At 45.4% G+C, this 27,704-nt stretch overlaps 1 protein-coding gene and 1 long non-coding RNA gene across 6 annotated transcripts in view, besides 3 other annotated features; one reads left to right on the top strand and one right to left on the bottom strand.

Moving 5' to 3' along the window:
• CDH13 (cadherin 13) overlaps positions 1–27,704 on the bottom strand; it is a 1,173,672-nt gene that overhangs the window by 105,155 nt on the left and 1,040,813 nt on the right. For all 5 annotated transcript variants that reach the window (NM_001220488.2, NM_001257.5, NM_001220489.2 and 2 more), the window contains 2 exons: positions 24,514–24,696; positions 17,025–17,278 (listed from right to left, as the gene is read on the bottom strand). In NM_001220488.2, the coding sequence (NP_001207417.1) occupies positions 17,025–17,278; positions 24,514–24,696 (437 nt within the window). The remainder of the gene's footprint in view (positions 1–17,024; positions 17,279–24,513; positions 24,697–27,704) is intronic.
• The window catches only part of LOC124900603 (uncharacterized), a 42,544-nt gene that overhangs the window by 12,350 nt on the left and 2,490 nt on the right, over positions 1–27,704 (top strand). The gene's annotated exons all lie outside the window — the stretch shown is intronic.
• Positions 12,076–12,576: an enhancer, noted in NCBI's record as "NANOG-H3K4me1 hESC enhancer chr16:83716515-83717015 (GRCh37/hg19 assembly coordinates)". NCBI's record gives its function as "activates a minimal SCP1, AML or CMV promoter by ChIP-STARR-seq in naive H9 embryonic stem cells {active_cell/tissue: H9 hESC(naive)}" and the evidence as "EXISTENCE:reporter gene assay evidence [ECO:0000049][PMID:30033119]".
• Positions 13,807–14,306: an enhancer, noted in NCBI's record as "H3K4me1 hESC enhancer chr16:83714785-83715284 (GRCh37/hg19 assembly coordinates)". NCBI's record gives its function as "activates a minimal SCP1, AML or CMV promoter by ChIP-STARR-seq in naive H9 embryonic stem cells {active_cell/tissue: H9 hESC(naive)}" and the evidence as "EXISTENCE:reporter gene assay evidence [ECO:0000049][PMID:30033119]".
• Positions 14,307–14,808: an enhancer, noted in NCBI's record as "H3K4me1 hESC enhancer chr16:83714283-83714784 (GRCh37/hg19 assembly coordinates)". NCBI's record gives its function as "activates a minimal SCP1, AML or CMV promoter by ChIP-STARR-seq in naive H9 embryonic stem cells {active_cell/tissue: H9 hESC(naive)}" and the evidence as "EXISTENCE:reporter gene assay evidence [ECO:0000049][PMID:30033119]".

The raw sequence follows: 27,704 nt of genomic DNA, 5'->3' as shown, positions 1-27,704 counted from the left end.
CCAGGTTGTAGGCACAGGCTTGGCCCAGAGCATCTGCCACGCAGGTTGAACTCATTTCTACTCTTGATCCAGGGATCCACAGAGTCACAGCATTTGCGATCCTATTTAAGTTTACAGAAGAAGAAATGGGCCCAAAGAGGAAAAGGAGCTTGCGCACAGCAGCGCCATGCTGAGTCATATGTGAGCTGGACACAAAATGAAAAATCAGTAACAATGATCCTGCTTTACTTAAAAAGCTGGTATTTTGCTTATTATGAATTTTTGCAATAATTTTTTTTTGAAACAGAGTCTCAGTCTGTTGCCCAGGCTGGAGTACAGTGGCATGATCTTGGCTCACTGCAATCTCCACCTCCCGGATTCAAGCGATTCTCCTGCCTTAGCCTCCTGAATAGCTGGGACTATGGGCACGCGCCACCACACCTGGCTAATTTTTGTATTTTTAATAGAGACGGGGTTTCATCATGTTGGCCGGGCTGGTCTCGAACTCCTGATCTCAAGTGATCTGCCCACCTCAGCCTTCCTAAATGCTGGGATTATAGGCGTGAACCACCGTGCCTGGCTAATTTTTGCATTAGTTTTGATTTTTAAAATACTGCATTAAAACATCTATCTGGATGATTGAGTTTTTCGGTATCCCCTTAAAGCTTATGACCAAGATGAGGGCCTGGCTTGACTCTCCCTAGTCCAGCCCAAAGGGAGGTATTGGGGCAGAGTGCCTTCTCTTGCCCTGATGGTCTGCCCAGAGCCACACCCTGCCCTCTGCAAGCCACAGCCCTGTTCTGTAGCATTCTTGGCTCTTCATGCCCTGCAGAGATTTACCTGGTTGCTGGCCCATGTCACCTGTTCCTGCTTTGTGACAGAGACACTCTTTAGTGTGGGAACTGAATATGCAAATGTTTACCTCTCACCTCATAAGCACCCATCCTCACAGAGGGCAGCTGGGGACAGTCATAACAGCAAGTCTGCTGTGGAGGTCATCACGAGCACTGTGGAAGACTCACACTTGTGGAAGGGTTTTGGAGTGGATGTTTCTCATTCCTGACTGCTCCCCATCCTTTATCATCCCTCATAGCATCCCAACCCCTCTTTTGGAGAAAACCCTGTTTTGTGCAGTGTTGGTGGGAGGTAGTAACCCACTCCCATTCTCTCCCACTGCAGCAGGAGTAGATATGGGACATGAGACAACTCCAGCAAACTGGATGCTCTTGCATGAGTGATGTGGGGGTGAACACAGGTCATGTTCATTGCATGGGAAGCCTAACATGAGAACTCAGCTGTTCTCTTTGTGGTGGTCCCTAATCCCTCCTTCCCTCCCCTTGAGTTCTATCTGGCGGCTACTCATTTTTTCCAGTCTGTCTTCTGGTTTTCTATCCATTCTGTGATGCCTAATGTCAACCCTGTCTGTTCTTGTTTTATTCCACCTAACATAGCCCATGCTGGTTTCTGTTGCTTGTGACCATGAATCCTGACAGATAGTGGACTAGGTATGATTAGAGGTTCTGAATTGTCACGTCCTCTTTTGCTCACAGGAACAGTCTCCTCTGATTCATTTCACTTCAAACATTCAACCAGATCCTAAACTTGTTTGGGTGACAGAGTATCTACAACTCATGGTGTTATTTGCATAGTGTGAGGTACTTTGCAGAGCATCTTAAAATACTGATAAATTTAATCCCAATGCCCAAACTAGGAACAGTTTTACTAGCAGAAAATATGACTAGTTATATGTGTGCTCTAGAAAAATTGCAAAATCAAGCCTACCTCCACCAAAGGGCCAAGCTGCAAACGTTCATAAATCAGTTGTTCAACTCCTACATTTAATAGCAGTTCGCCATTCATTCACTGGCACTGTCATCTCTGAGTGCTTGCTTACAGGCAAGCAAACAGCAGATGGCAAAACTTAATATTTAGAAACTCCTATCTGCTCCCTTGGATTTTACCAGGAATGAGGAAGAGACTGTTATCATGAGATTTAAGCAGTGAGGTACCCGGGGCTGGCTTGTGGAAAATAAAAATAAACTAATCCACAAGGCATGAAAACCAAATATTCTAGAAAAACACCCCTATCAGTCTCAAAGAGACACCTTTAGTAAATGACTACGCATTATGCTCATTTTGCTAAAAATGCGAATCAGTTAATTTAATGCTATGTACCGTGCACTGTGTTCTAAACACTTTCCCTGAATTCTTTTATTCTGTATCCATCACAGTGACTCCATAATCTAGATATTACTATTCCTCCCCATGTTTCAGGTGGGGACACTGAGGCCCAGAGAGATTAAAAATCTGCCCAAGGTTACACTTCTGGAAGATGGACAAGTGGGGATTTGTGCTCAGGAAGTCTGGCACTAGTCTGGCAGTTGTGGCCACTTGGCTATGTACTTTTCTTTTCTTTTTTTCTTCGAGATGGAGTCTCACTCGGTTACCCAGGCTGGAGTGTAGTGGTGCAGTCTCAGCTCACCACAACCTCTGCCTCCCAGGTTCAAGTGATTCTCTTGCCTCAGCCTCCTGAGTAGCTGGGATTACAGGTGCATGCCGCCATGCCTGGCTAATTTTTGTATTTTTTAGTAGAGGCGGGGTTTCACCATATTGGCCAGGTTGGTCTTGAACTCCTGACCTCGTGATCCACCTGCCTCGGCCTCCCAAAGTGCTAGGATTACAGGTGTAAGCCACCGTGCCCAGCCGGCTATGTGCTTTTCTTTGCAAGGCTGTAAGAGACCAGGGGTCTGCCATTTCCCATGCAGCTGCTCTGGGGTAGTTTCTAGAGACAGCCTGAATCTAGGATGAAATAAAAAGAGTCAAGGTCAGTTTCCTTTGCTTCCATAAGGAAAACACATCCTTCAAGTCCGAAAGTCTCTATTTGCCTATAGTAAGTTTGGCAAAATAAGGAAGTTTATGACAGATCCTTGTTCTCCTTAAGGCAATCACAGGAATAGAATGCACAGGGAAGTGGGCATGAAAGAGTTAAATGGAAAGAAACCGGGACAGACGGAGTCTGTAAAAACATTTCGCATCATCAACCCGTGCAACAGGTGGATGTCCAGCAGGCAAAGCCATCCCTGTCATCAGATGATGGCAGGAAGAGCCTCTGTGCTATGGAAAGAGCAAGCCGGGAAGAATGCATCCCTAGGGACCTCCTGCAACCTTGAGTCCAGGGAGCAACCTTGAGTCCATGGAGATCTGGCCAGACTCCCTCCCCATGCTCTTACAGGCATCTGGCAGCAATGATTTTTGCTGTGGCTATCAGCAATGAAAGCTGTCATAAATCCATCAACTAAAATCAGAAATGGAACAAACAATTTTATTCTGAAAAACAGAAGTTGGAGAGAGCAAGCTATTGGGTCTGGTAATTGCACACACAGGGCACGCTTCTCTGGCTTCAGTTTGGTTTGGGAGGCAGAAGAGCAGAGAGGTGACGACGGCTGTCATTGAGTCACATTTCCTGAGTGTGAATCTGAGTGTGAATTTCTTTGGGTAATTTCCTGAATCTTCCTAATCCTTATTGTCTTCCCCTGTATAAAAGGGGTAATCAGAGACCCACAGGGTTGCTGTGAAATGAGGGGTGATCTAATGCAGAAGGCTCAGGGAACAGTGCCTGGGACAAAGTAAATGCCAGCTACTATATCGTAACCTTGAGCAATTTGGTGTAGCTATAGCAGAAAGCGGCCAACCTAGCCTGGCTGTGTTAGGGAAGTGGATCAGACATGCTAGTGAAAGAAGACAGGAGATGGAAGGAGGCAGGATGGCCCAGGTCCGTTCGACTCCTGGGGACAATGTACACTCTACCCTGGGGCCTGCATAGACTCAGGATATGCTGATTTGCGGTCGGGCTGCCAAGTTAACAGCACCGTTGTACGGAACTGTGCTGGTCTTGAACTCCTGACCTTGTGACCCACCTGCCCTGGCCTCCCAAAGTGCCAGGTGGGTGTGAGCCACCGCACCTGGCTGGCTATGTACTTTTCTTTGCAAGGCTGTAAGGGGATTCTCAGGAAGCAGTGCCTCATGTGAAACAGCACCAGGCAGGGCCACTCCTCCCAATATGAGAGTGTCCCAGGGCTTGGCCACAGCCCTACGTTCACTTCCCTCTTTGGGGATCATAGTCTCAAGGATTTAAATTCCATCTGGATGTTGATGACACCCAGGCTTCTATCTGTAGCACAAACGCCCCCTGATACCCAGCTCATGTGCTCCCTTTGTCTACCTCAAACTCAACAAGAACAAGACCGAATTCCTGTACTTTCCTCCCACAAGTTACTTTGCCACTTCTCCAGCGAGCTTGCAAAGCTCAGAGATGTGCCCTCTGTGCTTCCATTTGTTTGGGACAAAAATCTTGGAGTCAATCTTTATTCCTCTCTCTCTCTCTCTGACACACACACACACACACACACACACACACACACACACACACACACACGGCACAGTTGGTTAGCAAATCCCTGTCACCAGTACCTTCAAAACATTCAGGGCCTGGCCCAGTGGTTCACACCTGTTATCCCAGCACTTTGGGAGGCCGAGGCAGGTGGATCACTTGAGGCCAGGAGTTCCAGACCAGCCTGGACAACATGGTGAAGCCCCATCTTTATTAAAAATACAAAAATTAGCTGGGTGTGGTGGTGCATGCCTGTAATCCCAGCTACTCCAGAGGCTGAGTCACGAGAATCACTGGCACCTGGGAGGCAGAGGTAGCAGTGAGCCAAAATCGTGGCACTGTACTCCAGCCAGAAAGACATAGCCAGACTCTGTCTCAAAAATAAAAACAACAACAACAAATTCAGTGTCTGCAGCTTCTCACTGCCTGCACTGCAACCATCCCTGCCCAGACCCATATGGCCTCTTACCTGGATTACTATGGCTACCCTACACTCCAGTCCTCTGCTCTGCCTCTGTCTCCCTTTCCCTTAATTGCCCCCTTTCCTAATCCCACTAGCATGCTTAACACTTTCCCCATCTTCTCCGGAGCATCGGCCTCATTTCCCACCATCCCCCAACTTGCTGTGCGCTGGGCACAATCCTGCACACTCTGCCTCGGGGCCTTCCCACTTGCTTCCTCTACCTGGACCTCTCCACCCGGGATAGCTGTGTGGCTCACCTCCACTTCCTCCAATTCTTCACTGAAGCATCACAGCACTGGTGAGGCTTCTGCTGACCCTCTATCTAGAGTGATGGCTCCCCTCCTTCCTTCTCTGCTTCCTTTCTTTGCATTAATCACCAGTTACTATGCTACTTATTGTATTTATTAATTCTCTCATTCATTTTCTCTCTTCCACAGGAATATGATTTCGATGATAACAGATTTCTTTTTCTTTTTTTTGAGACGGAGTTTTTGCTCTTGTTGCCTAGGCTGGAGTGCAGTGGCGTGATCTTGGCTCACCACCATCTCCGCCTCCCGGGTTCAAGTGGTTCTTCTGCCTCAGCCTCCCAAGTAGCTGGGATTACAGGCGCCCGGCTAATTTTGTATTTTTAGTAGAGATGGGGTTTCACCATGTTGGTCAGGCTGGTCTCAAATTCCTGACCTCAGGTGATCCACCCACCTTGGCCTCCCAAAGTGCTGGGATTGCCGGTGTGAGCCACTGCTCCCGGCCAACAGATATTTTTAATTGTTTCTGGGGCTACTTTATCCCCCAATGCCTAGAAAAGCACCCAGTATGTTGCAGGTGTGGGATGAATGAATGGAGAGAGAGGTTTTCCGGTCATAGCCCTAATCCAAATCCCCAGGTCCTCCTTTCACATGTGCAGCCTACACTCAGGGACCCAAGAATACTTAGAAGCAGCCATATAAGGTCGGATCTTCTAGTGAGATTCCTGCCAACGCTATTGGAATGCATGAGGAAATCCCCAAATTAAGCATTTGTAGGAGGACTGTAGTTTAGAGCCTCATCACTTGAAAATACAAGCTTTGAGATTCATTTGGAAAGCAGATTGGGAGCAGATGATGAAATGCATTTCTTGAATTAGTTACATGACTCACTGCCTGTGGTTTCATTACCCGTGTTAGGGTTAATGCCATGATAAGCTCCTCGTGCTTGCTGGCTGACTGGTGTTAGTGATTGATAGACAAACTCAGATAATAAATCAGCTATTTTCCCTATGCAACTGACTTCTGTTGCAATCCTGAAATGTGTGGCTTTTTCAATCAGTGCTATGTTAGTAGCTTATATAGCAATCCTTATCTATTTCAAATGGGTTTATTAAAAAAAAAGCTAAGTAGATTTAACAGCTTAGAAAATATTGGTCAAGGAACAATATTAACATTTGTCAATATTTTCTATATTGGTTCTGAGGATTAATTTCTAAGGCTGACAAGAAGGACCCTGATAATTATATTCAAATATAGCCAATTTGAAACCATGTTTTCAATAATGAAAGTCTGGCCTATGGCAAATTTATAACAACATATGTAGATGGATGTTAAAAAGGTGGTCGATTTGTAAAATAGCCTTTCATCCATTTACCCAAACGGCCAGATGTTTCATATTAGCCAAACTGAGCACCTTTAATTGACATGAATAATGAAAATCTTCAGTCTCTGGATCATTATAAAAGCCAGGATTCTATTTTTAGCCAGTGAAGCCCTTAAAACTTTAAAAATCCCATAGTTTAATTTGTGAGGCTTTGTTTCCCCCAGCATCTTCATAACAGAACATCTGACCACTAAAAACAAGAGTCATCTGTGCTAATATATTTGCATAAATAATTAAAAATTCCACAGCAGAATAGGCAATAAAATGTATTGCTACCATAAACTTACAATGGAACAACACCGCTTTAATTAAAAATTACAAAGACACCACTGTAAACAATCCATTTACATTTCAAACTCTGTGTTTGTTGACTTAAAAAAGAAAAAAATCTTAACTCATTAAAAACAAGAACCAAAAAAATGACCTCATCCCAGATCCTGTTATTGAGGTCAGTAACCACATTTAATTAAGATGAAGTGTTAATAATATAGTTTAGAAGATGAAGGCCTTCTCTTAATTTCCCCAGGTAGAAATGTTACAATTTGGCCTTTAACTTCTGATTAAAATTTAAAAGGTGGGAGTCACCCCAATTTAAACTCTTAAATCTGGTTTTGAAACCTGGTTTTGGGATTAGAAATCCTCCTTCCTCCCAATAAATGGTAGGCTACTACATATTTTTGAACCCCTGTGTTTCTGAGAATGCCAGTGATGACAAAATTTGCATTTTCAAGAGAGCTGATTTTTGCCTTTTTCTTCCAAAGGTCTTAGAAGATACAGAATAAAATGTCCCATCGCCAGTCAATGATGGTTTTTGCTTAATTTCCCAACATTTTTTGTGATTTCCTTTGAATGAGCTCCAATATTAGATTAAACAAGGTGTTAAAGAAAAGGACTTGATGAATCATGGGAAGACCAGTAAAAATGGAAATTGGGCATTTTAACAAATCTTTTGGGGCTGAAATATCATTATTCTATGTTGTATTCTTTACCAGTTTGAATGCATGAATGAATTCTACTGTAAAGTTAAAAAGCATCCAGGTCAGAAAGATGAGGAGGAAGGAAACGACTTAAAAAAGACAGAGCCCCAAAGAAATCAGGACAAAGCAGTTGTAGTTTTCAAAGAGATGAGTATCTAATTTGGATCTGATTCAGATATTCTGTGTTCAAAGAATAGGCTCAATTTGGATCAAGGCTTCGGAAGAAGGGTTGGCTGACGGCAATGGCTCTTCAATGTAACTTTCATGGACTTGGAAAGTTCTGTGAGAGACCTGCACATCCTTCTAAAGTCTCCCTGCTAGCACTGGCTACCCTTCCTGGGATTGGTTTAAAACAAGGCCAAATGTAAATGTTTTCATGGTTGGTAGACATTAGTCAATGTTTGAAGATTAAAAGAAAACAAAACCTATGATGTGGTTTGGATTTGTGGCCTCACCCAAATCTCATACTGAAATATAATCTCCAATGTTGGAGCCTGGTGGGAGGCGATGGGATCAGGGGAGTTAACGCAATCCCTCCTTGGTGGCGTCTTCGGGATAGTGAGTTCTTGCGTGATCTGGTTGTTTAAAAGTGTGTAGCACCTCGGCCCAGCTACTCTGGACATGTGAAGTGCTGGCTCCCTGTTTGTCTTCTGCCACGATTTTAAGTTTCCTGAGGCCTCCCCAAAAGCTGAGTGGATGCTGCCATGCTTCCTATATAGCCTGCAGAGCCATGAGACAATTAAATCATTTTCTTTATAAATTACCCAGTCTCAGGCATTTCTGTGTAGCAATTTGAGAATGGACTAATGCAAGCTATGTCTACATTTTTTTTTTCTAGACGAAGTCTCACTCTGTCACCCAGGTTGGAGGGCAGTGGCACGATCTTGGCTCACTGCAACCTCCACCTCCCAGGTTCAAGTGATTCTCCTGCCTCAGCCTCCCTAGTAGCTGGGACTACAGGCAAGCACCACCATGCCTGGCTAACTTTTTTTGTATTTTTAGTACAGATGGGGTTTCACCATGTTGGTCAGGCTGTTCTTGAATTCCTAACCTCAAATGATCTGCCCACCTTGGCCTCCCGAAGTGCTGGGATTACAAAGCATGAGCCACCGCATTCGGTCAACCCATGTCTACTTAATGCAGAAAAATGTGTGCATGCAGTCACCCCCAACCCAGCTGCCATTAATCTATTCCACCTGGTTACTGAGCACTGGTCATGCACCAGTCCTTATGCTGGGATTGGGCTGTTTCCAGACATTTGAGCCCTTAAAAATTTTTCTCTGTCTTTGGTGGCCTCACCCCAAACTGTATCAAATGTACTAAAATGTACCCACACTAAAAATACATTTTTTTCCTATCACATGTTTGAAATTATTTTTATACTTTTGCTTTTGGAATTACTGTGCCATAAGAAATATTCTGCTAATAATCACTTATAATTTATCCACCGTTCTTGCAAGGTGAGAGCTACAAATAGTTTGCAAATGTAAAGACACTTTTGCAAATATTAGGTTTAGCCTGCTAAAGTTGTCATGATGCCGTGGGCAGTTGATATTTATTAATTTCAATTTTGCTGCTTTCTTTTTGAATTTTGGAGTCAATAGACTATGTATTCAGGTCCCTGACATTTTTGTAGGCCCGTGGAAAGTCTGAAGGTCTTAGTCCTGTGCCTAAAGTGCTTAACTAACTCAATGGTACTGAGGAAGCTCTGGTGGCTCATTAGGGAAGGAGATAAAGATGATTGTTACTCTCCCTGAGCACAAAGTCTCGTGGGAAGATGGACAATGATGTCAAGGATTGAGGAAGTGTGAAGCTTGGTGAAGTTACACTAAGACATGTTCAAAAAGCCTTAAGCCAACATCAGCAGTAGGCGCAGTGGTACGGAGGAAGCTCCGGCGTTCTGATTCACATTAACTCAGCCTCTGTAAACCCTGCTTGTGTGCTTTCCTCCTTTAACCACGGCTCAGGGAGGTTCTCTCTCCTCATCAGTAAAAAGGGAGAACAAGATGTTCTCATTTACAGGGTGGTTATGAAAATACAAGAAGACTGGTAACAGTGCTTTTGGTAAAGTTCTACATAAAAATGTTAGGTATTTTAATCATCCTAGTAGCCATATTATTACCATCATTCTCAAAACCCATGTCTGCAGGGCGTTGTGAAAATCTTGGCCTAGTTTGGTCTGGCACCCTATTCCCTAGAGGCAGAGGCCTGTGCACAGGCAGGACGAAAGCAGGGTTTCTGGCGGAATCCAGCCATCTGCTGAAAGTCAGCCGGGCATGGTGCAGGGGAAGAAGCAATTTGTGCCACTCTGCTCCTTCTTCTCGACTTGGGATCATTGGTTCTTAGTTCCCAAGGAAGCAATTTATTTCATTCCTTCTTCCCTTCCTCTCTCCCTTTCTTTCTTCCTTTATAGGGACACCATCATTTGCAGCAAAAGTTCTTGCTCTTATGACGATAAGCTCCCTGGGAGGCTGCAGACAGAGACTATTTCTTTCACCAGTGAATTTACAGCACCTAGCACAGCGTCAGGCCCACAGTGGGCTCTACATAAATACCATGGCATGAATGAATGAATTGCTGTAATCCATATGCTCTTCTCTAGCACTAGTCTTTAGCAACATCATCTATTATTTTGATTATGCAAATATCTAGTATCATGGGATATTTTTCCCTTTTAAAATGTACCCTGTAGTTATTTATTAAGCAGAAAGGTTCCATTTAAAAAGGCATTCATGGCAGAAAGTGCCATCTACCTTACACTATCCATTCTTCCTTTCTTCCTTAGTGAAGAACCTTGGTTTAAAAAACAATGCACATTGCTTCCCAGTCAAATGACCATACTTCCCATAATCCCTTGCAGCTAGGTATGGCCCTGTGACCAATTTTGGCCAATAAAATTTAAATAAAAATGTGGATGACTTCCAGAAAGTCTCCTTAAAAGAGAGGGAGTATCCCTCTTCTTTCTCCATTTCCCATCCTGCTGTCTGGAATGCAGATATGAAGGTTGGAGCACTAGCAACCATAACAGACCATGAGGAAGAGGGTGCCAGCCTAGACGTGGTAAAATAGTGAGCAAGTAGAACCCTGTGTGGGGCCGTGTGGGGCTGCCACTGTCCCTGAACTGTCATGCCTGCTCTAGACCTACTTTATGTGAGAAAAAAAAAATCAACTTCCGTCTGCTCTGAGCCACTGTCATTTTGAATTTTCCTGTTATGTTCAGCCAAACTTAGTCCCCACAGATAAAATGCTTGACATATACTCGCAGGGCTCCCTGGATGAATGACCCTTTCCAAAAAAAAGTGTTGAGCAGTGATATGAAATTTTACATGGGTAGGAACAATATTTTTCTTCAACACATATCTTCTATATTCAAAGTGTAGGCAGAAGTCTCTGCTGTGGAATTGTTTACTATAGATCCTGGGCAAGATGAGTTCTGTCTGAAAAATGTTTGGAATAGGAATTGCTACTTGGTTGCCCTTGATTGTAGAGAGAAAGAAGTGAGTCCTCCCAGCTATTCAGAAGGATTTAGCTGCCGGCTGCCTCCCTAATGTAACCAAATCAGGGATCTGATGGAAGCGTTAGTTCCCATGTTTCATTTCACTGTAGGAGAAGGTTTAGCAAATGTAGTTACTTCCATTTTGCATAATTATCTTTCGGCTACTTTTTTTTTTTGTGATGGAGTCACGCTTTATTGCTCACACTGGAGTGCAGTTGCACCATCTCTGCTCACTGTAACTTCTGCCTCCCAGGTTTAACAGGTTCAAGAAATTCTCCTGCCTCAGCCTCCCAAGTACCTGGGATTACAGGGGTACACCACCATGCCCAGCTAATTTTTGTATTTTTAGTAGAGATGGCGTTTCGTCATGTTGGCCAGGCTGGTCTCGAACTCCTGATCTCAAGTGATCCACCTGCCTCAGCATCCCAAAATATTGGGATTACAGGTGTGAGCCACTGTGCCCAGCCTGGGTTACTCTTTCTAACAAGTTCAGTTACATAAGTCCTCTCCTCATTAGAGATACTCGAATATCATCAGGATATTTTACCTTGTGCACCTGGAGGAACGGTTGCTACGCTGAAAGTGGAAGCAAGTCTTATCATCATCTCACCTGGAGACGACAGAGTGGGAACCTGATCTGTTTTAGAACCTGATGTACATGATCTTGGAGAGGAGAAGGACTTTCTAAACTGTGACATCAATTTAGAAATGATGGAAAATATAAATTTGACTGCCTAGACATAAAAACAAAGAATTCTGTATATGCCAAAAAACATTAACAATACACAGTAATACTTTTGCTCAACCAAAGTATTTTCAGGGACTTGTCTTCAGGATATTAATGATGCATTAAACAATTTCACTATAAGCATACCCACTAATGTTTTAAAAAACTGCAAACAAGTGTAAACAATGTAAATAGTCAACAACAAGGGAATAAATAAACAGATGAGTATATCCCTGTAATGGAATAATAGCACACTATTCAGCGACGAAAAATAATGGCTATTTCTTGGGACAGAAAGCTGTTCAGCGTATACTGGGAAATAAAAATGGTGAGGTTTGAGGGTGGATAATGCAAGCCAATTTTGGTAATGAAAAACAGAATACTCACATACGTGATTGAGGGAGACAGATCCAAGCTGTGGAAAAGGGATTTCCTTGTCTGAGATGATGACAGATACTTTATTATCTTCCTTATTCTTACCTGTCTTTTCAAAAGTTTCTTCCAGAAACTATCTTAACTTTATAATAAGGATAAGAAGATAAAAGTCATTAAAAAGAAGAATTTCATCTGTCACTAGACCACTGCTGTTCATTTTGATTTGACTAACAACACAATGTGAAGGGCTTTTTAACAAGTCTTAATAACCCAGGCTTTTTAGTGAGAAGATTCCCTCTGATGTTTGGACACCCCTTGTCTTTGTAGTCACAGGTTCCTTGGAGATCAAGGCGCCCTTTGCTGACTTGAGCATTCCCTGGGGAGATGAAAGGGTGTCTGGCCGCGGTCAGCCGAGGAGCAGTGGTGCCTGAGAAGTGCATTTCCTCATGCGAGGCAGGACGTGGCCCAGGAGTTGGACTTAGCTGGAAGTGCGTTCCTAAGTTTCAGTGGGGTTGGGGTTGGGGAGAAGGCTTCCCATGTTGACCATGGAAGGAGCCCCCTCAGGGAGGAGGTGACAGTGGCCATTAGGATGGGCAGGCCCTGCTGCAGGATCTCAGGGTCCCGGTCTCTCATGGGGGCTTTTAGTTTCGAGGGCCTGGTGACTAATGTGACATGAGATGGGGTTGTTGGAGCTGAGTCACAGGGAATGTCAGAAAAGACAGAGATGGTGGGGTGGGGAGAGAAAAAGAGACAGAGCAGCAGAGAGACAGACAGGCAAAGAGACAGAGGAAGGAGGAGGAGTGAGGCCGGATAGGTAGTTAAGGAAGTGACCGTGTTCTCGGGACACAGCAGCAACTGTGGTGACCGCACAGCCAACACAGTCAATCTCAGGATGCGCACAGTCAGTGAGCTCATTCAAGCAAAGCTGTCTTCAGTGGCGACTTTCCCCTCTACAGAACATGCACATTTTAATTTTACCTGTCCTCAAACTGACTCTGCTCATCATAATTGTGAAAAACACAGCCCTGGGTGGAGATTTTAGATGCTAAAGAGACATGCGACTTATGAACGACCTTGTACAGCTGCTGCACATGTGCACCCGGAAGACCACCCAGAACAGCTTCCTAGTAACGCCTCTTCCCACCTCCTTATGAATAATCATGGAAGACTCCCAGAAGGGAGCCTCCCTGGTGTGGGTCTTTGCTGCCTCATTGTTGTGAGCAGCCTGCCCGGAATCATCTCTCTCAGAGGATACTGCTATTCTGCACCTAACTTTCAACATATTCTTTTTCTGTTGCAGTAGATTACTCTATGCTGCACTTCTTTTGGTGTGTGTCTCTTGTTTAAATTCTTTTAAACTAAGAAGACAAGAACAGAGGTATCACATCAGCAGTCAACACAAGGAAGAAGAAGAAAAAGATATTAGAGATACTAAAATGTTATCAGGAGACACCTGATTCCTGTTTTGTGGAGGAGGAGGAGGAGAAGAAGGAAGAGTTCTTTTCCAGCTAAGTTTCTTCTTCCAGTGCCTGCTCCCTGAAGAATCATCACAACAGCAGTAACATCACAACTTGGAAGGCCGTTGCATCTGTCTGAGAAGCCGGGGTAGCCCAGCGCAGATGATTAGATTAGAAAAGTGTCTCCCATCCTGGCCCCTCTCTGCAGCCCCACTCCTCCTCTGCACACACAGGCCCCAAGGGAGAGCACTTCTCAGTGTGCAGGATCAAAGGCTGCAAATAATTAATGAGCCTCTTTTTCCCAAAGAGCTCCCATGACAATAGCTCAACCTGTCGGTGATGTTATCCCGACTTTACTCCAGGAGAGGAGAGGGGTGGAGGGGAAGAAAGAGAAAGGAGGGAAAGGTGGGTAGGAGGGAGTGAAGGGGAGAAGAACGGAGGAGGGGAAAGGGGGTGTCCAGCCAGTGCCAGGCTGAGAAAGAGTCACGTGTGGGCCGCTGTGGCTCCCAGCAGGAAGGAATATGCCTGAGGAGTGAGGCCAGAGAGAGAAATGTGTGCAGCACACACATATGCACATGCACACACACATTTACTTTGCTCCACGGCTGGGAAAGGGATTGGTCCTGCCATCACTCAGCTAGGCCAATCTGTAAATGCTAGAACTCTTAGACCAGCTGCAGAGACACACTGCAGCTCTATTTTCTGTGGGGTTCACAAGGTTCACCTTTGGGCCAGGGGCTCTCTGTGGTTCCTGATTACACAGCATTTGTTCCCATCCTCTGGGACTAGCCTCCCGCACTTCCTCGGGTAGCCGCCCCTGCAGGCCCTCACAGCTGGGTGCTGGGGTCTGTGGCAGGCTCAGGCACCAGGACTCGTGGCACAATCTGTCCTGCTCATCTTCTGCTTGGTTCAGAGAGTTGTGCTTGTGACTCAACCTGGGCCTTGGGCTGGGCTATTGATTAGGAAGGAAGATGTTGCTTTCCTCTGGTAGGATCAAGGAGAGGTGTTTGCTGGTGCCTCTTCCCTCTTCCCTCTACAGATGTGCAAATATGGCTGAGGATGGAGACAACCCAGGGGAGAGCAGAGCCAGATATAGAGAAGGAATATGTTCTGAGCACCTGAATTCCATCATGCTGGAGGCCTTTGTTCCCATGGACTTTTCCATTAGGTGCGCTGACCTATGCAAGTAAGCAGGACCCCTTTTGGCATAAGTCACTGTGAGTTGGGTACTAGTCATTTGTGATGGAAGGCCAAAGCTGTGATGATTACACTGGCTAGAGAAACAGGAAGATCCTCAGAACTTTCTGCGTTCCAGCTTCTCCCCACAGGTGCCACCTCAAGTCATTTCTAGGTTGCTTTCTCTGACCTCCTTCTTCTCTCACACAGCGGTAGGATGAAGTCCCTTATCTGCCTGTGCTGTTTAATAGTAAGGTGACCTTTGCTCCCCATGGCTCAAATCTTGGCCTGGATGTTCCTTAATGTCTCAGCTCTCCCAGGCACCCCTCCCTCCCCAGGCTGGAATCCTGTTCCTAACTCAGTTTGCTGGGACTGCACCTATGGGCTGCCTCCATACTCCCAGCAGTAAGCTTCATTTGCCAGACAGGATGTTCATCCCTCCTTCTCAGTCAGCGGCCCTCTGTGCTGTGTATCTGGGAACATCATCCCGGTTGATCACTAGCCAAGGTGCCTGGAGCAGGGAGGTGCATGACCCCAGCTCCAGCAAGGCAGAGCTGCCCTGGGAATGTGACCATGGGCCGAGTGACACTAGAATGGAAAACAGCTGGAGCTGGTTTATTCTCACTGTGAGATCCTGAACTGCAAGTCTGTCTGTTCCTGTGACCTAGAGCCTGAAGGATGCCCTAGCTCCTGTGCTATCTCGAGCGGGTTCTTCAGATATTCCTCCATCGTATATAGTATCCATAGGGTCCTCCAGCACGTTCTTTCTTTGCCCAAGTCAGCAGAGCTGGTCTTAATCAAACAACCCAGCCTGACCTTCCTCTCCCACTGTCTGTCCCATCTTAGTAGGACATCTAGTCCTGGGTCCCAGACACCTCCATCCACCCCTACCCATTGCATTAGCTCTTTCATGACTGGCAGCATCCCAAGTTGTCCCAGCAATGGCAGAGACACAGGGTCCAAAACATCAACCTGATTTAACTCATTTTATTGCCTCCAGGGTCCCTGCTTTCACCTCCAATTGTAGAAATACAAGATGACACTTAAGCTCACCTGGAGACATCCTACCTTTGTCCAACTACCTTGTAGTCTGTTAAGCTACGAGTTTTCCCATCTAAGTACTTAAGAAAGACTCTCTCTTTGATGTTTAAATTGCATGTTTCCATTGTCAGATAGCAACAAGAAAAAAAAGAATGGCTATTTCAGATTCACATTATTATAGGATTTGGTATTATTTCACACGCTTGTCTAGTTCATCTGGCATTCAGAAAGCTTAGCCGTAAAAATAAATCCACTTTTGGTGTTGGAAAATAACTTCTGCTTCTTCTCCACCGGCTTGCTCTAAAGTAAAGTGGTTGACTCAGTCCCTGTTGCACATTTTCAGGTGTTTCAAATCAGGAAAATCAGACACATGTTCGTTTTAAGTGTGTCCAATACTTGATTATTTGTACCTCATATGAGAAGAAGATTAGATTTTGGAGGAGGAACATTAATAACTTTCTTCTGCAGAGACAGGCGTGCATTTGGATCTGCACGCTGATTTAAGTTTATTGTGAAACCATGTACCAACGAGGGCATCTTTTATTTGTGAGCATTAGATGCACCACGGGTGGATAGCGACCATTTAATTAAATCTCATTACGAAAATGCTTTCTATCTAAGCACTGGGCAGAGCTTAAGAAATGAAGACAGAAATTTCTGAAGACATTATTATTATTAATTTTTGCCTGCCCCTCATCAGGCAGAACGCCAATCCCAATGGTCTATTTCCAAGCACCAGGAAGTGACTTTGCTCCTTCCCCTTCTGGCAGCTCAGAGTCAGTGAGCATTGAGCAGCTAGAAGGAGCATGAACTTTGCAGAGTGTCCTGTTTCCATCCTGATTCCTCTACCACCAAGCTGGGCTGCTTGAGCAAGTACCGAACCTCTACGAATCTGCGAATCCACAATACCTGTATCTGTAAACGGAGTTAGCAAAACCTTTGTCATAAAGCAGTGCTGATGACAAAGTAGGCAAGTTTCTGAGATGCAGGAGGTCACCCAGAGTGGCTCCCTTCTCTCTCCGTTCAAGGACTGTGCTCAGGGCCAGCAGACCCGGCTGGTCATTTGGGAACACAGCACTGAAGCTACTCTTCTCCCAGGCTGGAATCAGGTGGGAGCAGCATCCTCACCAAAGAGCCTGGCCCTCTGCAGCCGTCAGCCACAACCTCCTCTCTATGACGCTTTCCTCCCACTTGCTGAGATTGTTAACAAGTTTAATTTAATGGTGTCTGCTCCTGACAACCAGCTTCTGCGACTGGAAAGGAAAAGCCATTCCTGCCCACCTCCCGTCTGTGGTTCCGGAGCCACTCACCCACCTGATGGTTTGATGCTGCAGGGAGTCGGGGTCCGTGGCATTCACTGTCAGCAGCACGCTGCCCACAGAGAGGTCCTCCTGCCTGGTCACCATCATGGGGTCTGGGTAGAAGACTGGGCCCTCGTTGACATCCAGGACAGTGATGTGGACGGTGGCTGTGGAGCTGGGGCCGTAGGAGACGTCGGGTACGAGTGGGTCTTCATTTTCCACTTTGATCAGCAGGGTGTGGAAGGCAGAAATTTCATAGTCCAATGGCTGGAAAGCAGACAGAAGGGTCTCAGGATGCACACCAGCCACAAAAGGCAGGTGGTTTGCATCAACTTCCTCTGAAATTCCACGAGCAACAGTGGGCCTTCAGGGATGGAGCTGGGCTTTGGAGGCTAAGCCTGTGTAACTGGGGGGCTATCTTTAAGATAAAGAATATGAAACATGAAAATGTGAGATTAAGTATGGATGTTGGTTTTTTTTTGTTTTTGTGTTTTTGATTAAGAAATGAATGACAACACATGACTTGAGCCTTAGTGATCCGGACACTGAGTGACTTGAACCTTAGTGATCTGGGCAGTGAGTGACTTGAACCTTAGTGAGCCTCCCTCTGAGATATCGTTAGGCAACTCCCTGGCAATGGTGATGCCTAAAGCCTCCCTGCCTGGAACCTGTAACTCCGTACCCCCGACACCCACGGGGGCTCTGGTAAATGAGACTCCAACGCCCAATCCTCAGTAGCTTTATAGCAAGATAACCCTGCCTCTGTGATCACAGTGGATCAAATGGAACAGGAAAACCAAAGTTTTATATTTAATGTTTCTCACTCACTTGCCATGAAGTTAAAGGGTCTCTATGTCCCTTCAAGTATAGCCTGGGTGCATGGTTTCTAGTAGAGTATGATGTAGGGAAAAGGATTTGAAAGTCTGAGCCACATGGAGTTAAGCCGCTGGGCCCTGGCCCAACTGAGGGCATGTGAAAATGTATGGGAGCATTTTCAATTGACTCGAGGGCTCTACAACCATTTGCCGGGCGGGGGACAGCAATACTAGACTCAAGGCCATGCCCAGGACAGTCCCACACAATGGTGGATTGTCCTACCCCAGTGTCAATGGGCAGCGTTGATGAGGACCACTCTAGGTGATTTTGCAAAGGGGGCTGATAGTATCTACCTCCCCCAGCCACTGTGTGGACTAAACCAGAGGATGTCAAAGAAACTCCATGATAAACATTGGTAATACAATGGCGCTGCCAATTGAGTGTCTGTCACTCTCTTTCCCAACCACGAGAGCACATGATGTGGTGGGTGCAGCATTTCCCAGAGTGGGTCTCTGTCAGCGGTGCATGGGGAGACATTTAGGTAAGATGAGGGCATACTGCTTCTATCAAGTTCCTAATGCTTACTGGAACAAACAGCTAACCCATCAGACCCATGCCGTAATGGGTATTCTTGCAAGAAGGACAAGACTAAATAAGTCAAGAGATTTGATTTACACTCAACTAAAAGTAAGCAACAACAGTTGTAGAGGTTGCAGTGGACATGGGAAAATGAAAGCAGAGATAAGGACCGTTGATGCTGGGGAAAGAGCTGGCACCGAGGTGGGAATGGAATCTGGCAGGTTGGGTCAGAGTGTCTTTAGGCAAATAAAGTCACTTTCATAATAATTACGGCTGACATGTATTCAGTGCTAAGCACGCCACACATGGGAGAGTGTGTGCCCACATACACACACTGGAGATGCTTCCTGGTTGTAACTGGACTTCCTCTCTTCACCTAGAACAACTCCCAGCAGGGTCAGTAATAGGATTTTAAGAGTTAACAGATGCAAAGCTCTTAGTGCTGAGTGGCTGCACAGTGATGTGTCGGTTCAATCCTTGTAACACAGCAGTAATTCACCATTCTATCCTTCTTTCTATGGATCCTAATAATGGATCTCTGTCCATCCCAAGTGATGCCAGAATGTGCAACTTCGGTAAAGTAAACCTCAAACCAGGGCCAGGGAGCTGCCATGCTTGGAAAATACAGCTATTCATCTCAATTAGGATCCTGGAGGGGACAGAGCCTTTGGCTTGCTGGGCCATGACGACGCTGAGGGTGGGCCCTCTGAACAGCAGTGAGATGCAGAGCACCCCAGTCCCCCAAGGGCCATTTCCACCCCACACCAGCACTAATCACAATCTTGGCCTAGTTTGGTCTGACATCTGATTCTCCACAGCCGGAGACGTATGCACAAGCAGGAGGATAGTGGGGTTTCTGGGGAATCCAGCCATCTGCTGACAAGTGAGACAGTCAAAATGCTTGGAAATAACCAATTTGTGCCGCTCAGCTCCTTTTCCTCGGCTGGGGACAACTGGTTGTTTTTTCCCAAGGAGACAATTCCCTCCCTCCCTCCTCCTCTCCTTCTTTCCTGGGGATGTCATTATTTGCAGCAAAAGTTCTTGCTCTTATAACTATAAGCTGCCTGGGAGGCTGCAGACAGAGACCATTTCTTTCACCAGTGAATACACAGCACCTAGCACAGTGTCAGGACCATAGTGGGCTCTAAATAAATATTGCATGAATGAATGAATGAATGAATGAATTGACTGTAATTCTTGTGCTTTTCTCTAGCACTAGACTTGTGCAACACAATTATCTATTATTTTGATTGTGCAAAAATCTAACATTCTTGGATATTTCTGCCTTTTAAATTCCCTATTTTTTTATTAGATAGAAAGATGGGTGGCAGTCAAGTCCTGGCCCTGATGCATCATAACTCTGGGACCACCAGCAAGTCACTGCCTCCCCTGAAGTCTCAGCTGTCTCTTCAATAAAATCCTAGTACAGAGGATTGTTGTAAAGATCAGCGGACAGGATGAATGTTGAATATTTCCCATGGAGCTAGGCCTGGTGTTGGTATCAATAACAAGAAGCTGTTAAGATGGTGAGGAAGAAGAGTGGGGAAGCAAGAGCTGCAAGAGTCATTTCCCCGGCCCCAGTGTTTCTCCTATGTTCCCAGGCTGACACTCCCTGAACGGAACGCTGGCTTCAGAGGAACTATGCCATGCAGGAAGCCACAGAGGGAGGGGAGCAGCGAGGGAGGGAGCCATACAATGTGAGGCTGGCCTTAGGAAGGGAGCAGGGCCATGCTAATGTTTATTTCCATTTGCCTAAGGTGGGATCTACTAACTCCAGCTGTATGATGCCCAGGGCCAGACCACCTGGAGCTGCTGACACATGGGTCTCTGTTCCTAATCCCCTCGGAGTGCTGTAATTGGATTAAGAAGCCCTCCAAGATCTCACAAAGCACACAATCTTACTAATGTGCTTTGTCTGTTGCTGGGCCTCTGTGTCAGGGACAGGAGGAAATTGAAAATACTCCTGATGGAAGCTACAGAGAGGCAATTCAATTAATATTTTTTCAAGTGACAAGAGAGGGTGTAAACCACTGCCCTGGGAAATTTAAAGCCTGGAAAAGTTGACCCACATGGGAAGGATGGAGGACCTGGGTTTGTTGGCTGGAAGAGGGAGGATCCAGAACTGAATGAATAGCTATGTTTAGGCCTGTGAAAGGTTTGGGGAATAACGGATGCTTTCTGGATACTACCTTCTTTGAGGACAGAATAGAAAATAAACTTAAAATGTAGGGTTGATTATATTCAGCTGAAAGAATAACTTTCTGGTGGTTTTAGAATCGGTTTAGAAAGCAGCTAAGGGTGCTTCTGATCTGAAGGTTTTAAAGACGAAGCCGACACTCATCTGTCAGAGCCACTGGGATTTGGTCCTTTTAAGTGGCAGGACCTTGCTGGAAACCAGCAGCATCCTGAGACTCCAAATAGTTCTTCTGTATGTTGGATTGCTAACTGGTTAGGGCAGACCTGCTTGTGCTTGACTGCCCAACAGCAATCACCAGCCCCCCTCTGCCTTATGCACTGTAAAGGCCCAAAGGCCAGATTTGGACTTTCTCAGCTTTCCTTGAAGTTAAGGAAGAACGTATGTCATTGGTCAATGAAACATCACGGGAAATTGGCCGGGGGACCCTTAGAAAGGATGTTTTCTGCCCCGATAAGAGGAGAGGGTCTCATAAGAGCACCTTCTCTCATTTGCCTGGCTGCCTCCTTGTTTCCTGCATTAGGATGCAGCATCATGGGAAGATATGATGCCTGGGGCTTTGGCAGCTACTTTATGTCCAAGAGGAAAATGTCAAAAGCATCTGAGGCACCCCACTGCTGGCTCTCTGCCACCTGGAACTGTTGGCCAATCCTGGACTGGCCTACCTTCATCTAGTTATAAAAATTCTTAAATTCCCTTCATTAGTTAAGCCACTATTAGTCTAACATTCTGTTACTTGCAACAGAATGCATCCCTGATGGTTGCACCAGTGGCTGGCACAGTGGACAGCAGCAGAGAGCATGGCCTAGCTGGCTTCTAGAAGGTGTTCTGGGGCTCTGCCTCACATGTGCTGAGAGACAGATAGAACTCAAGGCCCTTCCTACTGACCTGGGAGGCAGCCAATGTGGGGTGAGGGAGAGTCTGCATCCCAATTCCAAAGCAAAGAAAGTCCACTCACTAGCAAAGCTGAAGTCAGCAAGAGCATCAGCCTCTGTGGGCACCTCTTCCCCTGGAATTTGCAGGGAGGGCGGACAAGCTGATGGAAACTGCTTCCCCTAAGGCCATGCCCCTTGACAAGTGGTGTGCCCTGTGAACAACAGAACCACCTGGCACACCTCTCTCTCATATTCTGACACAGCAGGTCTGGGGCAAGCCCAGAAATCTGCATTTTAACTAACATTGCAGATGATTCTTATATATGCTAGCATTTGAGAGCCACTGCATTGTGGACCAGCACAGGAATGTAGGGAGAGGAGAATGGCTCCTTCCTGCAAGTCTGGTTTTTCTTTTTTTTCTTTTTTCGTTGTTGTTATTTTGAGACAGAGTCTCACTCTGTTGCCAAGGTTGGTTAATAGGCTGGTAGTCACTAGTCCATCGAGATGTCTTAATTTAAGGGTAACATGTGGGTGATCTTAATGTTATGGGTCTGAAGTAAGAGCCAGATGCCAGGTATAGTTTCAGAATAGTCACCCCCAAGTGTTATAGGTCTGGAGCGAGGAGGGTAGTACTCCTGAGCGGGGATGATTTCTCGGAGATTGGTAGATTCAGAGGCCAAAATTTGGTAGGGGATATCCATGTTGGCAAGAGATTTCTTGACTGCAATGTGCTATGTCCGATGAACGAATGTATGTACTACGTAATATTAAGGATTTCTAGTACGGGTCAGTATTCGTATGGATTAGGTTTTATTGTGTACTTGACAACAGTAGATGTGCGATAGTTAATTAAGGGATTGTTAATACGTGCTTATGTGTATGTAGACTAGGTTTGTAATGTACTCCTATATATGAATGTACTATGTATGAATAAGCAATTATAGTACTGTATATTATTCATGGGGACTAGCAGTAATGCACGAAGTACATAAAAGCACTAATGTATTGGGCAATGGCAAAGTTATTAGGAAACCCTGGCACTGGCCCTCTGTGTCCATGGCTGTTGCACTTTCGAAGCTGTAAAAGTCATAGAATGACATAGCCACTGGCTGTCCTCCGTGGCTAGTCCTGAGTCTATAAAATCTGTCAGACAATTTTCCAGACCTGAAGTTTGGAAGATAAAACTTGGGTAAATAGACATCTCCATCACATATCCTGGAGCTCAGGCCTCCCCAAAATGTGTTTGCTACAGCTCAAGGAAAATAGATATGAGCAAAACAGGATTTGGCAGGGTGCAGTGGCTCATATCTGTAATCCCAGCACTTTGGGAGGCCAAGGCGGGCAGATCACTTGAAGTCAGGAGTTCAAGACCAGCCTGGCCAACCTGGTGAGACCCCGTCTCTATTGAAAATACAAAAGTTAGCTGGGTGTGGTGGCATGCACCTGTAATCCCAGCTACTCGGGAGACTGAGGCAGGAGAATCACTTGAACCCAGGAGGTGGAGGTTGCAGTGAGCCAAGATCAGGCCACTGCACTCCAGCCTGGTGAGAGAGCAAGACTCTGTCTCAAAAAAAAAAAAAAAAAAAAAAAAAAAAAAAAAAGAGAATCCAGAGAGCTGCCTCACTCTATCTACCATGTGAGGATAGAGAGAGAAGAAGATGGACATCTATCAAAAAGTGGGTCCTCACTAGACACAGAATCTACTGGAAGGTTGATATTGGACTTTTTAAGCTCCAGAACTGTGAGAAATGGATGTCTGTGGTTTATAAGCCACCAGCCTACAGTACTTCATTATAACAACTCAATGGATTACAACAACAACCCTAAGAGGGAGGTTACATTAACATTCTCATTTTACAGATGAGGAAACTGGTGCACAGAAAACATGGGTGTCTTGGCCAAGGGCACACAGGGAGTGGGCAGCCATTTCCCTGCTCTGCCCACTGGTACTATCACTATAAATACAATTGATCCCTGCTGCTCAGGCAAATGGCTTCATCCACTAGAAAAGAAAATGTGTTCCCATGAAGGTCCTGGTCTCTGGCAGAAACTCTCCCCAGAACTTCCCAGAAAGAGTGAAACTGTGTAGAAATGCCTTCTCCCAGAATACCAAGGCCACCTGTAGCAAGCCTTCTGTGCTACCACCCCCACTAATATTTCTGGATTACCAGCATGAGCTAGAGGTTTTACATTTATAATTACATTTCCTCCTTGTTCTACTTGTTGCCATAGAGAGGGTCAGTGTGTGAGTTAGCAAGGGTCACAGAGGGTTTCACACCAATAACTATGTTGTGTGTGTTTTTAAGGAATAATTGAGCTCACTAAGGAAGATTAAGAAGTCATGTCGTAGCCCACGTTTTGAGCACAGATCTCTAAAAACACCTTCACACATCTCATTTTGGCATATCTGTTAATAATTCCTTAGCAAATGTATAAAGAATTTCATTTAAAACTTAAGTTTGGGCCAGGCATGGTGGCTCACACTTGTAACTCCAGCATTTTGGGAGGCCAGGGCAGGTGGATCACTTGAGGCCAGGAGTTTGAGACAAGCCTGGGCAACATGGTGAGACCTCATCTCTACTAAAAATACAAAAACTGGCCGGACATGGTGGCAGGCAGCTGTAATCCCAGCTACTCAGGAGGCTGAGGCACGAGAATCACTTGAACCTAGGAGGCGGAGATTGCAGTGAGCTGAGATCACACCACTGCACCCCAGCCTAGGTGACAGAGTGAGACTGTCTCAAAAAACAAAAATGAAAACAAAATAAAAAATGCACTTAAGTTTGGTTTTCTTAAAGTTACACATAAGTTTGGGTATTTTAGAACCTATAAAACAGGTTTGTTTTATGGCTGCTTGTTTATGCTGCTGAGGATACGAGTGCACCCTTAAGCCATGAGCCTTTTCCTTTGTTAATTCCCAGAAGGAGGAGACTGGGGGAATTTATCTGTGGCCTTCTAAACTCAATGATTCTATGAGCTGCCTCATGGGGCCCTCCGTGCTCGCATGAGGAGAAAGAGGCAATTGGAAGCACCCTTACTTTGACAACAGAAAGCATCCCTTCGTTGGTTTGAGGGTTGGTGTGGATTTCAAAGCTCTGCCCGGGGTTTCCGTTGATGATGGTGTAGGCAGCCCTCCATGCACCTGTGGTGGGGTCATCCTTATCTTCAACTGTCAAATTGACAATAACTCCCACAGCTCCTTCCTCGACTGTGGCTTGAAACTGCAAACAAAGCAGATGGTAATGGTCACTATTTTGAAAACACATAGTCATTTACTACATGCTTTGCATTGGGTATGTTACACACATCATCTCACTTAAAAATAAATAATAACATAAGAGGATTACGGTTGGAAGATACTATGCTCTTCTTCTCAGCTTTCCTTGAACTTAGGTGAGGCCACGAGACTAACTTCTCTCCTGCAGAATGTGGGCAGCAATGATACTGACCATGGCTGTGCTGTGCTGCTCTGTGGTGGGAGGGTGAAAAGAACAGCTGTGCCTCCTCTCTGTGCTTTTTCACCCTCTGCCTACCTGAATGCAGAGGACCACAAAACCCCAGGGAAGCAGGGAGCTACAAGGAAGGAGGAGCTTGTGTCCCTGAGTCACCACATGGAGGGGAGCAACCTGGTGGCCAAGAACACCTGTCCTGAACTATCATTGAATGAGAAACAAATTTTCATTGAGTTCAAGCCATTTTTGTTTGCATTTGTTCTCGCAGCCTTGCCTCCCCAAAATAACAACATAATCAGATGAGTCAAGCGTTAAGACTTGTAAGTGGAGAGACTGGGATTTGACCCCAGATCCTCTGCTAGATACTGCTATTTTCCCTAATGAAGAAAACCAATCCCATCCTTCCCACTCCATATCCAGTTTTAATATGATCTTAGAAACCATTTTCTAAGAAATCATCTACATGAATTGTTTGGAGCCTTGATGTACCTGTGTTTCTATTGTAATACATCTCAAATTCTTGTTTCAAGTAGGTGTGGTGAAAATAAATCAATAAATGAAAAATCAACTTTCTCATAGATAGAGAATTTCATGAGCTTTCATTAGCACATTCCTTTGAGCCGAAAGCATAAAGTATTGTTTTGGTGCTTACCTCTGACACACTACAGGTGAATAGTAATGTGTTTGCAAATATTTTATAAACAAGTAACACCAATAAGCTGACAAAAAGAAGAAATATCTTGGAATTTCAATTAGTAGGAAAGTGAATCTAGAGACAGTAAGGTGATATCAAAAAGCCCTTGTGTTCAAAGAAAAGTAATTTGAGAAATGAGGTTTCAAAAGCAGTGGCTGATTAATTGACTTGGAAATCATTAATCATAAACCTTAATCCTGAGGCCTCTCAGGGGACAGGGCGGGGACTGCAACTAATTTGTTTATTGCGCCTCGGCAAACCTGGGCGAGTTGTCTTCCATAAAAGGAGAGCTGGAAAATTCTTAGAACATGCATGGAGGCTAGAAAATAGTGGGAATGAGAAGGGATACTGAGGCTGCTGTAACACAGAAACAACTCCAGGGTGCAATTATTTTGATCTGATTCGTGTGATTCTTGTTTAATGTCTACCTATCTTCTATCTTCTCTTCTCACAAAAATCATAGAATTCTTGAGCAAGAAAACTATACTAACGGTTCTCAGCCCTGTCTGCACATTAGAATCTCCCAGAGGCTTTGAAAAACTTCCCGAGTCCTATTCCAATTCAGGATTCCCCAGGGTTAAAGCGCATGAAAATCTATTATGGTTATTATGGTTGGAGGGGCTGATGAAAGAGAAACTGCCCGGGGTCCTCTAGCCAGGTTGGAGCGCATGGGAGATCAGTCCATCTCTGGTCTTCTGGGACAAGCAGTCAAGTGGCAGAATCAGGCATCAGTCAGGGAATCAATTCAGATTCAGACTCCCCAGATCAATTCAGATTCCCCAGGCTCTGGGGTAAAGCCTAGGACTCAGCATTTTATTCACCTGCCTAGATAATTCCAATATGTAGTCGGGGCAAGAAGCAGGATAGAGTCCCAGTCTAAGGACGGCAGGCAGGTGTCAATGACATGACCTACCCTTGTGAATGGGTGAAGCTGCCTGAGCCTGGTGTGGACAGGCCTGCAGTACATCTGGGCTCAGCAGGAAAGAATGCTGTGATCAATTAATGCTACCTGCCATGTAGTCAGGAGGGGGCTTGGTGACACATGTGTGATCTAATCCCTTCATATTACAGATGAAGATGATTGCACAGAGAAGGAAGGAAGGAAGAAGGAAGAGTGCTGCCCAAAGTCGTTTAGTGACCCAAAGATCAGACCTAAGTCTCCTGGTTTCCAGTAATCTTTGCTCTGCCACTCCTGCCCACCTTAGATCCCCATGGCTTAGGCCAGTCCTTCCTTCACCCTCTTGCTGCGGTCCAGAGCCAAAGGACTGGTTCTCTGCCCCTGCTTATCAAAGTGGATGTCAGCTCATAACCCGTCCTTGTGGTTCTTCTGACACCTGTACCTTAGAAAACCAGGTATCAATCATGTGGGCATGAAATGGGCTAAGGCTAGAGGATGCTGGGAACCACCAGTCAGGTAGAAACGCTGTCATGTCCAGTGCATAAGTGAGAAGTTGCTCTGTCAAAGCAGATGAGTGTCATTGCCAAGATGAAAACACTGTGAGAAATCATGATTTGAGGAGGCTGGAGGCTCTATGTGCACCTGTCTCTTCATGGCTTTATCTCCAGTCTCTTGCATGGTGCTAGGTGCACAGAAGAAACTCAGTAGATATTTGTTGAATGAATGAATGATCTTAAGTATAGGAAGTGGGATCTGGCAGCAGAGGTGAGGCCTGAGGGAATGTGAAGGGACAAAGCCATACAGAAGCAAGACTAAGAGGGACTGACTTGTTGACTGACACCTGATTCTGCCACTTGCCTGAGTGTTCCAGAAGACCAGGGATGGACTGATCTTCCCTGTGCTCCAGCAGAGCTGCGTCATGGCTGGTGGACCCCAGTCACCTTTGCCTTCATCAACCCCTCCTATCATAATAGAGTAATGTGCTTTAAAAAATTTATTTTGGGGGCTGGGCATGGTATTCTAACACTGTAATCCTAGCTCTTTGGGAGGCTGAGGTGGGAGGATCACTTGAGCCCAGGAATTCAAGATGAGCCTGGGCAACATAGTGAGATTCCCATCTCTCTAAAAAAAAATGTAAAAAATTAGCCAGGTGTGGTGGCACGTGCCTGTCGTCCCACATACTCA

The sequence above is a fragment of the Homo sapiens genome, chromosome 16 (genome assembly GCF_000001405.40).
Source record: "Homo sapiens chromosome 16, GRCh38.p14 Primary Assembly".
Taxonomy (NCBI): Eukaryota; Metazoa; Chordata; class Mammalia; order Primates; family Hominidae; genus Homo; species Homo sapiens.
The sequence above is the reverse complement of the archived record's forward strand: the minus strand, read 5'-3'. Positions and strand labels throughout refer to the sequence as shown.